The following is a 13,943-nucleotide window of genomic DNA, read 5'->3' as shown; positions in this document are numbered from 1 at the left end:
GAATCCAGAATATATGAACAACTCTTACAACCCAAAAGTAAAAGTTAAAAAATAATAATTTTTAATGGACAAAAAACTCAGACATTTCACAAAAGATTATATATGAATGACCAACAAACACATAAAATTGTGCTCAAAATCATCCGTCAGGGAACCACAAATACAAATGAGATGCAACCATACACCTACAAAAATGGCTAAAATCAAAAAGGTGGACGAAGTCCAGATTTGGCATGGATGTAGAGTAATGAGAATTCTCAGACACTACTGGTGGAAATATAAAATAGAAGAACCACTTTGGATAACAGTTGGGCAGTTTCTTATAAAGTTGTGCCTATACCTATCTTACAAACCAGCTGTTCCACTGCTAGCCATTTACTCAAGAGAAATTAAAACATATGTCCACAAAATGACTTATGTATAAATATTCATAGGAGTTTTTTCATGATTACCAAAAACTGGAAACCATCCAAATGCCCATCATCAAGTGAGTGGATAAGCAAATTTTAGTGTAGTCATACATAATGCTGGAAAACTATTCAGTAATTAAAAGGAAAGAACTCCTGGTGCAAACAACCATGTAGATGAACCTCAGAGACACTATGTTGAGTGAAAGAAGCTAGATGCAAAAGAGCACATAGTGTAAGCTTTCATTTATATGAAGTTTGAGAACAGGCAAAGCCAACCTATGGTGAGAGAATTCATAACCGTGATTACCCAGGTAGGTTGGGGACTGATTGGACAGGGACAGAAACGAACTTTCTAGGGTGTTTTAAAATGTCCTCTATCTTGGTTGGTGTGCTGGTTACATGGGCAAACACCTTTGTTAGAATATATTGAATAGTGCACTTAATATTTGTACATTGTATTGTGTTTTTATTCTTTAATCTTGAAAAATGGATATAAAGGACTCAACACCTAGAAAATGCTCAACAACCATTAGTTCCCTCATCCTTCACCCTTCCCACTAGGCAAGTACCATAGATGCTATGAGAGCATTTATGATCACTGGACCTCTGAAAATAGGAATGTAATTTTCTCCAAAGGGAAAAGGTGCCATCTACAGCATGACTTGGAAAGTCTCTCTAGTCCAGGCCCAGGACTATAAATAAGAAGGATAGTGCCTAGAGCCATTTCATTCTGAATCTTCCTCTGGGTTTCGTCCTCCAGGTCTAGGTCTGGGATTCCAATGTCTCAAACCAAGAGGGTGGAATTTAGTTGGGTCTTTCCAAGAGATGCAAGATGGCAAAATGTGGAAGTGGGAAGACATGGTGGGGGTAAGAGACTCTGAGGAGAACCGCATTTATGGGAAGATTATAAAAGATAAGTTAGGGTGGGGCTTGATGGTGCCCACCTGTAGTCCCAGCTACTAGAGAGGCCGAGACAGGAGGATCGCTTGAGCCAGGAGTTCAAAACCAGCCTGGGCAACATAGTGAAACTTTGTCTCTAAGAAAAAAGAAAAAATTAAAGTAAGGTAAGAAAACTAGTATTGGAGCCAGATGTTGAAGGTCTATAAAGTTAATGGTATTTAAATGCTCAATAATTGTTTGTTGATTGAGTAAGTAAATGAATGAGTTACTGAGTCTGTTGAGGCTGACTGCCGCCCCCTCCTTCCTGTCTTGCAGCTCACATACCTGCCCCCACCGTGGGGTGAGTGCCGATCCTCAGAGATGGGCCTCGACTTTTTTCCTGTTTACAGCATCACCGCCTGTAGGATTGACTGTGAGACCCGCTACATTGTGGAAAACTGCAACTGCCGCATGGTTCACATGCCAGGTCAGTGCCAGGGCAGGGTGGCCACAGGGCCCTGGGATCTGCCTGGGACCCACCTTGCATTTCTCATCCTAATGGGAAACACTTCACCCACTTCGCTGGGATCCAAAAGGATGATGTTCTGGGAAGACTCTGTTATTTGGTGCCTATTAAGAGGGCAGGTGGAAACTTCTGGTCCAGCAACCAAGGCAGCATCCTGGTATCCAGAAGCATCCAGTGTTTGGGGAATGTTCATCCCAGTGTTCAATGTTTGCCAGTTGTCTGCTGTTCTTACCTCTGAGAGTTTAGCTTCCAGATAACTGGATGCTTGCAATTCTTGCAGCTCGTGTAGTACATGTTTGAGCATCCAGATGTTTCTTTCATCCAGATGTTTCACTTTTTGTGTCCAAATGTCTAGCACTCCTTCAAATGAGGCAAAAGTCTATTGGCCAGCAAATAAATGTGCACATAATGACACCTCTGTTGTCAGACTAACAATGCATGTGGCCATCTCACACAGTTGGCTTATCAGAGGCTGAAGTGCAGAGTGGAAAGCTGATCTGGGGAGGAAGAGCGCAGTGTTGCAGCAAGGACACATGAGTGGGGCCTTGGTTTCTAATTCAGGCTCTTCCACTCATTTACTGTATGACCTGGTTACTAAACCTCTCTGTTCTCACGTTTATGAACTTTAAAACACAATCAGCAGCTGTTATAAGGTGAAAATTAGGCTAGGATATAAAAATATTTTGTAAACTATAAAAGTCAGTGGTTGTTATTTAGCATATTGAAAGAGGGAACCAAAAGTCATGCTGACTAAAGACCTACTATGTGCCGGGAATGTTGTTATTATATTTAGTAGCTGTTATTTCATGGTTATATCATACTTTATTCAATTTTACTTAACTAAATCCTTATACTGGACATTTGGTTCATTACCAATTGTTTTCTGTGATAATCTGTGCTGAAAGGTGGGCCCAAATCTAATCAGAGTCCTCAAAATCAACCCCCCTTTTCCAGCCAGGGTCAGAGGGAGATATGACTATGAAAGAAGGGTCAGGGAGATGCAAACTTGTTCACTTTGAAGATGGAAGAATGTGGGTAGTCGATGCATGTGGGTTGCCAGTGAATGTGGGGGTGACCTCTGGAAGCTGGGAAAGGCGAGGAAATGAATTCTCCCCTACAGCCTTCAAAAAGAACATTGGCCTCCCACCCAACACCTTGATTCTGGACCAATGAGACCTATATCTGACTTCTGACCTGCTAAACTGTAACATAATAATAAATTTGTATGTTTTAAATACGAATAATAATAAAATGGCCTCTGAGCTTCCTAGAAAACAGAGCAAACAGGGAAACATGTCATTTAATCTGTTGTTTTTGGAAAGGAGAAAGCATATTGACTCTTCGGCTCCGAAAAAGGATTTGGGGAAAATGATAAGGAAAAAAACATGGTGGACTTTAACTTTAGAGCTTGGTAAAGGAAAAGAAAAGATCCTGGGTTTCTACAAAGAGATCCCAGCAAGGAGAATCCAGTACTGGGGAATATTACTCACCTGATGCTCAGACTAGGCCACCAGCCAGTGAGGTTTTCCCCACCAACCCTTAGCCAAAGGCAAGCAGTAGAGGTGTCAATCACACCCATGACACTAATACTGACATCTCAGTTACTAATGTGGAATTATGAACAAAGCAATGAAGAAACACAAAACAACCCTTGTTCCCATACAGCAGTGTGGTTGTGCTGAGAAGAGCTCCAGGCTCTGGATCAGACTGACCTCTGTTCAAAGCCCACTTCCATCACTACTAGCCTTGGTGTCCTGGGAAGGCAGGATGCTTAAGCCTCAAAATTATCATGGGTAAAACAGACACAGTACTTCTGACTTCAAAGGGTGCCTGTATGGGTTAAAGAAGATGATGTATAGCCAGGCTTACAAGGTGCTTACCACCACCTCCCTAGTCTCAATCCTCAAGGTGAGCCCACCTGTCACCCACGGGAGCTGGCTGGACCTACACAGAAACATGGGAGAAGTTAGCCATACAGATCCTACTGTCTCCTGCTCAACGAGGTGAACAGCCTGCCCAAGCTTACATAGCAGATCAGAAGCCAGCCTTCCAGCTCTGGGGTGCACTGTGATCCAAGGCTCCCTTCGAACTGCCCACTGGCAGGCCGCTGCCCCTTCAACTGCCAGGAGGCACCCCTTTCCCTAAGCCCAAAGCAGAGGAGGTGTTGCTGACATGAATGTTCCTGCCTGAGTAACTCTGTCTGGTGTTTCTTCTTTGCAGGGGATGCCCCTTTTTGTACCCCTGAGCAGCACAAGGAGTGTGCAGAGCCTGCCCTAGGTCAGTACTCAGGGGACAGATGGAATCATGGGGGCCGGGGGCCTGAGACTGAGATCATGGAAATCATCTGGGTTTGGGGAAAGATCAAGTGGAAGAAGGAATGGAGAGAGGATGAGAAGAAAGGGGCTGGTCGGGTGGAGTTGCTGCAGGGATGGGAGAGGGAGATGGAGAGGAGGAAGAAGAGAAGGTTGGGAAGGGAACTGGTGCAAGAGGATGAGGGCTGGAAATGGGACTGGGGAGAGAAAGAGATATGGAAGGTGGAGATGGAGAAGGAGTGGGTTTCAGGGGAAACAGAGGGTGCTAAGGAATGCAGGGGAGAGGACAGAGGTGGAGAGAGGATAGACAGTGGGCAGCCAGGTAGGCATCAGAGGAGCTTGGCAATACCTCCCCTCACACACTCTGATGGTGTCTACATGGGGAGGCCAAGGTGATTCTGAAGTACCATCTTTCTTCTGCTCCATTGAGCCTAGGGGAGGTGGAGGAGGGCTGGAGAGGTAAAGTCAGGTTTGCATTCCATGCATGCAAATGGAAAACACAAAGCACACTTCTTCCTCCTGCCTGAGGGGCCTGCGGGGGGTCTGCCAGTTAGAAGACCTCTGCTGGTTCCCCAGCTGGAAAACTAGGAGGGAGGGAGAGTGCACAAACAAGCTGCAGCCCCAAAGCTAGGCCCACTCTGCATGCTTGCCTCTCTCTGGACCCAGGAAATGGCTTATAATCAAGACAAGCAGACTTTTTAAACAATGTGCCCTCAAGTTCGTTCAGCATCTGCACTTGCTGGAGCTAAGTGAGGCAGTGCTGGCCTCAGGTCCAGATACCTCCAGGAGGACTAGAGAGGGAGGGCAGGCTGAGAGGAGAGGGAGTGACTTCTGATGTGTGCAAAGACTCAGCAAAACCCAGGGTAGCTGGAAACACTGAGGTGGCTAGAGGAAAAAGGGAGGGAGGTGTTAAAGAAAAAATCACTCTGACACTAGTTAAAATGGTAAGGAAGTCTTTATTCAGGGCAATTGCAACAGGTGTCAAGAGTATCACAACAGGGGAAACAGATGGGACTCAACTGAGAATTCAGCCAAGACAGCTGGAGATTCATAGCCATCAAGCAGAGCGAGGACTCAGTAGATGGAAAATTACCCAGAGAAAACATCAAAGTTAGGGGGAAATCTGCAAAGGCAGGCCAGGGTGATCAGATATCAAGGGTGGGGGATTCTCTCTAAACTGACTTTAGCAGGATTCTTGCTAAAACTGGGCTAGGCCCGCCCAGCATGGATGGGGGCCAAGGTCAAGGCCTAGTTGAGAACAGGGTTCTGAAGAGCCTGGCTAAGTTTGATCAGGGAGAAAGTCTTTGTCAGAGGGAAATGATGCCTTAAACTTTATGTCTAATTGGAAGAAGAGAGGAGAGGGCAGGAAGGGTTCCAGATGCAGGGAGTTGCCTCCAGGGAAAGAAATGAAGGAACTTTGCCTGCATCCTAACCCACCAGGCAGAGAAGGTGGGGCACTGGCTATGAGGGAGCCCCAGCAGGAAGAGCACAGAGCCCTGGGTTTCAGATAAAATGGTCTCCTACATTTGCTTTGATGGTGGATCATTCTCTGTGGATGAGAATACTGAGGCTGGGAGCAGGGAAGAAAGCCATGAGAAGCTGAGGACACCAGGACTCTCTTGGAGACCTCTGCAAAAGTGGTCCCATTTCAACAATTTTTAAAGAGTGACATGACAGTTAAAAGAAGCAGAAGGAAAACAAGATCAACCTACAGCAAAAGCCCAGTTCCCCTCTCTCCACAATCCCTGCCCCTCACTTTCCCCAGACCAGTGCCCCTTCCCAGCTCATTTCTCAGCTGCTACAATCCAGCTACTCTGGACCCTTAGAAATCCCAGTGCCCACACCTGACTAAGCCCCACCTCACTCTCCCCTCCAGGTCTGTTGGCGGAAAAGGACAGCAATTACTGTCTCTGCAGGACACCCTGCAACCTAACCCGCTACAACAAAGAGCTCTCCATGGTGAAGATCCCCAGCAAGACATCAGCCAAGTACCTTGAGAAGAAATTTAACAAATCAGAAAAATATATCTCGTAAGTTTAGTGGGCATGGTAGGCAGGGGGAAGGGGGAACTGGATAAGGAGGAAATTGGAGGCAATCAAGGAGGAAAGCAAAGATAAGCATTTGGTTCAAGTTAGCAAACATTAGTTGAACACCCTCTGTGTGTCACGCTCTGCGCTCCATGTTCAGAATACAAAGACAAAGATGAGTAAGACACAGCCCCTGCCCTTAAGGAGCTTGCAGTCTTATGGAGAGACAAGCACACACTGAATGGTATATAGGGTGACTTTGGCTATCATAGGGGGATGCATAGGGAAGGAGAGAATGATGGGTTAGCTGCAGCTTGCAATGAGGTGACATCAGGGAAAGCTTCAGAGAATTTTTTTTTCTTTTTTTTTTTTTTGAGATGGAGCCTCGCCCTGTTGCCCAGGCTGGAGTGCAGTGGCATGATCTCGGCTCACTGCAAGGTCCATCTCCTGGGTTCAAACCATTCTCCTGCCTCAGCTTCACGAGCAGCTGGAACTACAGGCGCCCGCCACCATGCCCAGCTAATTTTTTTGTATTTTTAGTAGAGACAGGGTTTCACCGTGTGTTAGCCAGAATGGTCTCGATCTCCTGACCTCATGATCCACCCACCTCGGCCTCCTAAAGTGCTGGGATTACAGGTGTGAGCCACCGCGCCTGGCCCAGAGATTTTTTTAAAGGATGTATAGTTTTCCAGGCAGACCTTGCACGTTCTATTCCCTCTGCCTAGAATTCTTTTCCTCCCAGCCTCCACCTAACTGGTTCCTCCTTAAGCAGGTCTCCATTTAAATGTCATCTCCAGCCAGACATGGTGGCTCATGCCTGTAATCCCAATGCTTTGGGAGGCCAAGGCAGGAGGATTGCTTCAGGCCAGGAGTTCAAGCTCAGCCTGGGTAACGTAGTTAGACCCTGTCTCTAAAACAAATAAAAAATAAAAATAAAAATAAAATTGAGGTTATCCCAGGCATCTAGATGAGGTGCTCTCCTGTTATTTTTCTCTCAAAGTCCTCTGGTGTTTTCCTTTATAACACCACAGTGTGTAATTACATATTCATGTTGTGTTTCCTTGTTTGTTACCTGTCTGCCCCACTAGACTGAAAGCCCCTGAGGGCAGGAAACTATCTTTTTTGTTCTCTGTTGTCTGCCAAGTTCTAGTGGAGCATATGGCACAGAGTTGGTACTCAAAAAAATGTGTTTTAACAGAATAAATGAATGGAAGCATGGGAGAAGTGGGTGTCCTAGGCAGAAGCTCAGCAGAGACCATCAGCACAGGGCAGAAGAGAAAACTTCAAAGGGGAACATGGATATGTCAGAGCAAGAGGGTCTTGTAGGCTGAGCCGAGTGGGTGCAGGGGGTGGGCTTTATCCTAACAGACTAGGGATCCCCTGAAGAGCTTTCAGAGGTGAGTGACAGACTCAAATTTGCATTTTTGCCCACTGCTCCCCAATAGGACGAATGCTGTGTGATGATGGAAATGTTCTGTGTCCGCAATGCCCAGCGGGGTAGCTGCTAGCCACATGTGGCCAACGAGCATTTGAAATGCAGCCTGTGACTGGGGAGTGGAACTGTAATTTTATTTAATTTGAATCAAGTTAGCAGTTTTAGAAAGATCCTTCAGGCGGCGATAGAGAAGACGGGGGAAAGGCAGATGGGAAGAAGGGAACTGTTAGGAAACAGCTGTGGCAAGCCAAGCAAGAGAAGGTGATACTTTGAACAGCTGCCCTGCGAGCCCTGCTCACAGAAAGAAGAATCTGCTCCTCTCTTCGCCAGCCCCTCCTTCTTGCCAACACTGTCCCCAGACCCCATCCTGGGCCAGCTTCTGCTCAGTGGGTTGAGAACAAGGGGCACTGGAGGAATTGTGGGCACATTGGAGGAGACAGGAATTGTAGGGGATGCCAGTCCCTGCTGCTTGGCAGACAGTCTGCAGGCAGTAACGACTTTTACTGCCGAGATGTGTCTCACTCACACACCTGCCCAAAGGAGCAAAGCAAGCCGCGGTGCTTCTGCCAGAACACCCCCCAGCCAGATGTAAGTTTGCTCCCTACAAACTTTCTTTGACTTCTGGCAATTGACTTGATAATGCCAGAGCAGGGCCTCCCAACAGGAGGAGCTTGTTATAAATACCAGTGGGAATTTAGGGGGCCTCAGGAGTGGGCAGGGGCTGCCCATGAGGTCAGCTGGAGCAGGCACCCTAGCCAAGACAAGCCTTGTCAGAAGATTAATGAAACTCACCTTCATGTTGAGGACGAGGCAGGCCCTTTGGAGGCGCAGAGGCCTGGAAGCCAGGCAGGACTCCTGCATAGGGTGCAAAGAGAAAGCAGGGAGACAGAAATAAGCAACAAAAGGAGGCAACTGATGTAGGCCTCCAGACCCGGGCTGGGAGTCAGGCTTCTTGGCTTGAAGCCGCAGCTCTGCCACTAACCAGCTCTAACTTTGGGCAAGCTGCCTCACTTCCTGGGCCTCCTTTTCTCCATCTTTCCATGGGAAAGCTGTATTAGATGCTCCCTGTGAATGCTGATAGCTCTAACCATGTATGGTACTGACTATTCTCTCTGCAGAGAGAACATCCTTGTTCTGGATATATTTTTTGAAGCTCTCAATTATGAGACAATTGAACAGAAGAAGGCGTATGAAGTTGCTGCCTTACTTGGTAAGTCAGTGTCTATTGCACAAATTTCCACATCTCATAGAGGGTGGGAGGGAGGGAGGATGCACAGGTGGATGGGAGGCAAGCAGACAGACACATAGCCTCGGAGGAGTCTAACCTTTTGATTTACTAATAATTACTCCCTGTTTCCTTGCACTGCTCCTCTCCCAGAATGGAAAGAACCCCAGCAGTGGGGTGGAATTTCAGGCCCAATTTATTCCCCAATCTTGGCTTCATTTTCCCCATCTATGCAATGAGGACGGTCAGCCTAAAGGTCTCTCTGGGCCTTTCTAACCCTGCACTCTTGGAATTCATGGTCTTCTGCCCCAGCTTGCAGTCAGGATCCTGGGGCCATGGAGAGGGGGCAGAGGTATCAGAAGGAGAGAAGGAGGGAAGGCTGAACTGTGGGTGGTCAAAGGTGGGACCTGGGAGGTGAGGGCCCTGATGGAACTTCACCCCAAAAGCAACATTGCTGCATCCAGAAGGCCAGGTGTTGCCCCCTGGACTGAGAGTCATTTGTCAAACACAAATGAAGGGCCACTCTCCCCAGGTATCTACAAACCTGCTGCCACCCCACAAAAGTTCGCATGAGCTCCCCGGCTCCAGTGGCATCTGATGGATACAGGCAGCTAATTTCCATCCTAACCCAGCCCAACCCAAAACTCACAAGACCCCTGAGAGTGCACAGTTAAAGGACTTGACTCTAGAGCCCTTCTCTCAGCTCCCACTCACTCTCAAGAAAGGATCTGATGCCTGTAAACCAGAAAGAGAAATAGCTGTTGTCTCCCTGAGCTGAACCAGGTGACGTTAGCATTTTGGAAGGGGCAGGTGCCTCCTACCTGGCTTCTCACACCAGCTATGAGAATATGGGCAAGTAGCTTTACCTTGCTGAACCTCAGGTTCTTCATCTGCAAGATGGGTTTAATAAAACCCACTTTATGAGCTTGTTGTGATGGTTAAACATGATAACCCCCTAGCCCAGAAAAGGTCCATAAATAGTAGTTTCTGGCACCTGGACAATCACTATGCCAGGGACCCAGGGCTCAGCTGGTGTGTCCAGGGGCTGGCTAAGCATTTCTACACTTTCTCCAGGAGGCTGGGGACTCCCCACCATAGCTCGGTCCCAGCTGGGTTAAAGTGGCTGTCACTCAGCCTCAGAAGTCATTGTGGCCAAAGGTACTGAGCCAAGAGACTCATTCCCTTGGCCCCAGCAGAGACATAGACCCCTCACTCACCCCTATGCTGGCCTTGCCCTTTATTTCCATAAAGAGGACCCAGGACAGGCCTCTTCCTACCCCCTGCCCTCCCCCAGCATAGGCTCACAGTCTTTCTCTGTCTCTCTGCTCTATGTGCGTCTCTTTCTTTCTCTCTCTCTCTCTCTCACACAGATCCCTCTCTTTCACAGAGAGAGAGAGAGAGAGAGAGACATACAGAGCAAGAAGGGCCTGAGCTCTGAATTTGTCATGTCTGCGTCAGATATGAGGATGAGTTTGTTCAGCATCGATCGTGTTCCCATCCAGAATAGCCGGCTGAGGAGCTCATGCTGCCATCTGGACCTCCTGTGATGAGAGCGTGTGCCGCTTGCAAACCCTCAGCCATCAGGTCCCATCAGGCCCTTCTCTCAGCACCGCACGGCCCTTTCTCACCTCCTGGTGTCCATGCACGTGCACGCTACACACACTACCCACAGCATACCCCACCCCAGTCTGCACGCACATGCACCAAACCTACAGGTTCATGCACCCACGGTGGTCCAGGACCACACACACAAATGCACACCTCTACAGCCCCACGTTCCAATCACACAGCTAGAGACACATCCATGCACACAGCCCCCACACACCCCCATATACACACACAAGCACACCCACACTACACACGCTCGACACACTCTGCTCACCTCCACAGACCCACACTCACACACACTTAGACACACTCAGGGTGCCTAGACAGGGAGAGCCACCTACATAAAACCATAGACAGCCAGACCTCCTGCCTGCTTTTATACAAATACGTGCACACACCCCAGACCCTGGCATATACCCCACACTATACCACTACAGACTCACACTGCACACGTACATCACACACCTCCCCCGACATACATATCCATTAGAACACAGTCCCCAAGAAGCCTCCATTAAAGACATGAGAGGGAGCGGTGATGGGAAAGGAATGAGGGAGAGCCAGTTTGAGGCCAGCACCGCGTTCCACTGGGAAGAGCCTTCTCCCCACCATCTCTGTTGTTCACCCGGGCATGTGGGTGCTGGACCCCACCCAGCCATAAGCTGAGAAGGAGTGGGGCAGATCTGCCTACCAGAGAGTTCTCAGGCCAAGAGGTCAAGCTGGCATCTCCAAGAGAACTGTCCTGCCACCCCCAACTGTGCCCCCCAAACCCAATTCCCAAACCTCTTTCCAGAGACTGAGAGTCTTAGAGATTAGGGCTGGAAAGAACTTCATAGTTCATCTCATCCAACCCCCTCCATCCTGCCACCACCACCAAATATCCTTTGGAGACAAAGCTCCTGAGAAGGTCAGGGCTTATGAAAGCCACACAACCAGCTGGTGGCCACTCTCTGGACTCAGAGCCTCAGAGCCCTCGGCTCTGCCACACTGCCTCTGCAGCAAAGCATCTTAAGCTTTTGAGGACTCAGAACCCCTGTTAAAAACTGATAATAGCTATGGACTCTCCTGCTACAAATGCCCAGGCACACATACATTTTGCATTCAATTTCAGGAGAGTCTCCAGCCATCTGAAGTCCTCCCAGGAGAGTGGTTCTCAAACTCTGGTGGGCCCGAGAATGCACCTTACCCCCAGCGGGAACTTAAAAATCCCGACATCCAGACCCCAACCGCAGAGGCTCTGATTCTATTGGCCTAGGTGTATCCAGGCAGCAACACTGATTACAATTCTTCCAGGAGAGTTGGATGCAGGGGTATCTGAAGACAAATCCAGAAAACTTTGAATAATGGGGGCCTATAAACCCCAGAGTAAGAACCTCAGCTCTAGAAAGAGTCAAAATTGCACACTAACTTTTGGATGGGGGAGAGAGGAGACACCTATGGCCTTATCCCAAGGGTGGGAGGTGCCCTAAGGTGGCCCTGAAGCCCATGCCGTGATTGGGTTAGGGGAGCATCTCCTCCCGAGACTCCCACCCAGGGCACCTGTCACCAGTCCACACACATCCTAGCTCTCTATTCTCCCTACTCCCAGCCCAGAGTCAAAACAGGACCCAATCGGTGTGGTTTTGAGTGTAACCAAACAACCCCGTTAGCCCTGTGGGTCATGAGATCTAGTCTAAGCCCTTCCAATAAGCCATCAGCTTAGTCCCCGACCCCACTGAATGCTGAAAAATGGTAGCTCTCAGAGCTGTGCCGTGAGGGAAGGAACTGCCAAAGGCCTGGACCTCCCACAACAAGGCCCAGGCTCCCCATGGAGGGGGCGCCATTCAGAAGGTCTGGGTTGCATCTCAGTCTGTTCACCCTTCCTGGAAGCTGCATAAAAGCAAAGCTTTGGTCTTTTCCCTCTCTCTCCAGGTGATATTGGTGGTCAGATGGGATTGTTCATTGGTGCTAGTATCCTTACAATACTAGAGCTCTTTGATTATATTTATGAGGTAAGATTTGGGATTCCCCACAGGGAAATGACCGCATGCTGGTGCCCTCATCGTGCCCCAGGTTCAGAATCATAGTAGAGGGAAGGCGGTGCCTCTCTCCATGCAGAGCCTGCTTCCCCTCCTGTCCACCAATAGAGTCGATCACTGAAGCCCAGGCTCTGTGGGGCAAGGGGATGGGAGGTTTTTGGGGGGCGGTGGATGTAAGAGAAACACAGGCCTATCCTCTGGGAGCTGGAACAGCACTGGGCCATCTACACTGGCAGGGAAGGATGGGGAGGGATGAGGGGAAGGGGGCCAGACTGTGCTGAGGCCAGCTCCAAGCCCCTCCTGCAGCTGGGCTGGAGGTGGTGGCTTCATCCATGAGCATGTCCACACCTGCACACACACTCCCTCCACCCACACACACCTGCCCTCTAGGTGGCCCATCACCTGAGTCATGTCCTCTGTGGCCCAGCCAGTCTTAGGGAAGGGGCACTTCCCAGCAGTCCTCACCAATCCTCAGCGAGAAGACAGCAGGGCACGCCAGCCGCCCCGGCTGCTGACAGTCTGGGGAAATGTCTCCCTCAAGAGGCAGCTGGAACGAGGCCTCTGAAAGCTTTCTCTGACAATGAGGGTTCCCAGAGCTGGGGTCAGCCTTCTCACCTGCATCTCTCTCTGACAGCGAGCCTGTGGATGCCACTATCCCAGGCTCTGTTTTGACGGGTGTTCCCTTGGAGGCCTCCATCCCCCTGGCTGTGAGATGGGCAATGCACTTCACCTCCAATGTGTGCCCCTGAAAATGGCAATGGCTCCAGAACTTCCAAAGAATGCCTGGACCTATGAAGTCCCCCAAACAGGAGCAGTAGACGGGAGCCTGCAGAACCATGTTCTGTCTCTCGGAGGGGGCTGTTCATGACCAAAGGCTGCTCGGAACCACAGTAGGGACCTGTCGTGCCCCAGTAACCAGGCTCCTCTGGAGAATCTCATGCGTCTCAGCACAGTGACCCCAAAACCACATCAGTTCCCATGGCCAGATTTTATTCTGCTTTGTTTATTGACTTTTGTGGAAAACTGTACACAGTTATGGCAATTGAATCACACCAGGTAACAGATTTAAGAACTACCCTCTATTGCTAGGAGTAAAATGTTATGAACTCAGGCATGTCCTGGTCTTCTGAATTGTGTGCAGTGTCAGGCCTAGCAAGTGAATAATAATCTTGTCCCCCAGCCCCAGCCACAGAAAGGGGGTCCCAAGGCTGCTCCTGAGGACAGACAGGGAGCCAGCATACCAGCACACACCACTTACTAACACTCGCCAGCCACAAAGACAGCAGTTCACCCTGTGAAGCAGGGCCTTCCATTACCTATTCCTAGCTCCATCTCCTGCAACAAAATCCCATTTCAGCCAAAAGGCTGGGTTGAGACAGACAGGCACCTGGAGCTGGCTGCCAGGCTGGGCTTGTGCTACGGTATGTTCAGCCACAGCCCAAGCAGCTGCCACCCCAGTGGGGCCCAATGGAGGGAGGTCCCTTCTGCCTCTGCACCCTCTTC

The 13,943-nt window shown here is 49.2% G+C and overlaps 1 protein-coding gene across 2 annotated transcripts in view; it reads left to right on the top strand.

Moving 5' to 3' along the window:
• Positions 1-13,943, top strand: part of ASIC2 (acid sensing ion channel subunit 2) — a 1,143,682-nt gene that overhangs the window by 1,126,751 nt on the left and 2,988 nt on the right. For both annotated transcript variants that reach the window (NM_001094.5, NM_183377.2), the window contains exons 4-8: positions 1,626-1,776; positions 4,036-4,092; positions 6,004-6,157; positions 8,708-8,799; positions 12,334-12,413. In NM_001094.5, coding sequence (NP_001085.2) covers positions 1,626-1,776; positions 4,036-4,092; positions 6,004-6,157; positions 8,708-8,799; positions 12,334-12,413 — 534 coding nt within the window. The remainder of the gene's footprint in view (positions 1-1,625; positions 1,777-4,035; positions 4,093-6,003; positions 6,158-8,707; positions 8,800-12,333; positions 12,414-13,943) is intronic.

The sequence above is a fragment of the Homo sapiens genome, chromosome 17 (assembly GCF_000001405.40).
Source record: "Homo sapiens chromosome 17, GRCh38.p14 Primary Assembly".
Taxonomy (NCBI): domain Eukaryota; kingdom Metazoa; phylum Chordata; class Mammalia; order Primates; family Hominidae; genus Homo; species Homo sapiens.
The sequence above is the reverse complement of the archived record's forward strand: the minus strand, read 5'-3'. Positions and strand labels throughout refer to the sequence as shown.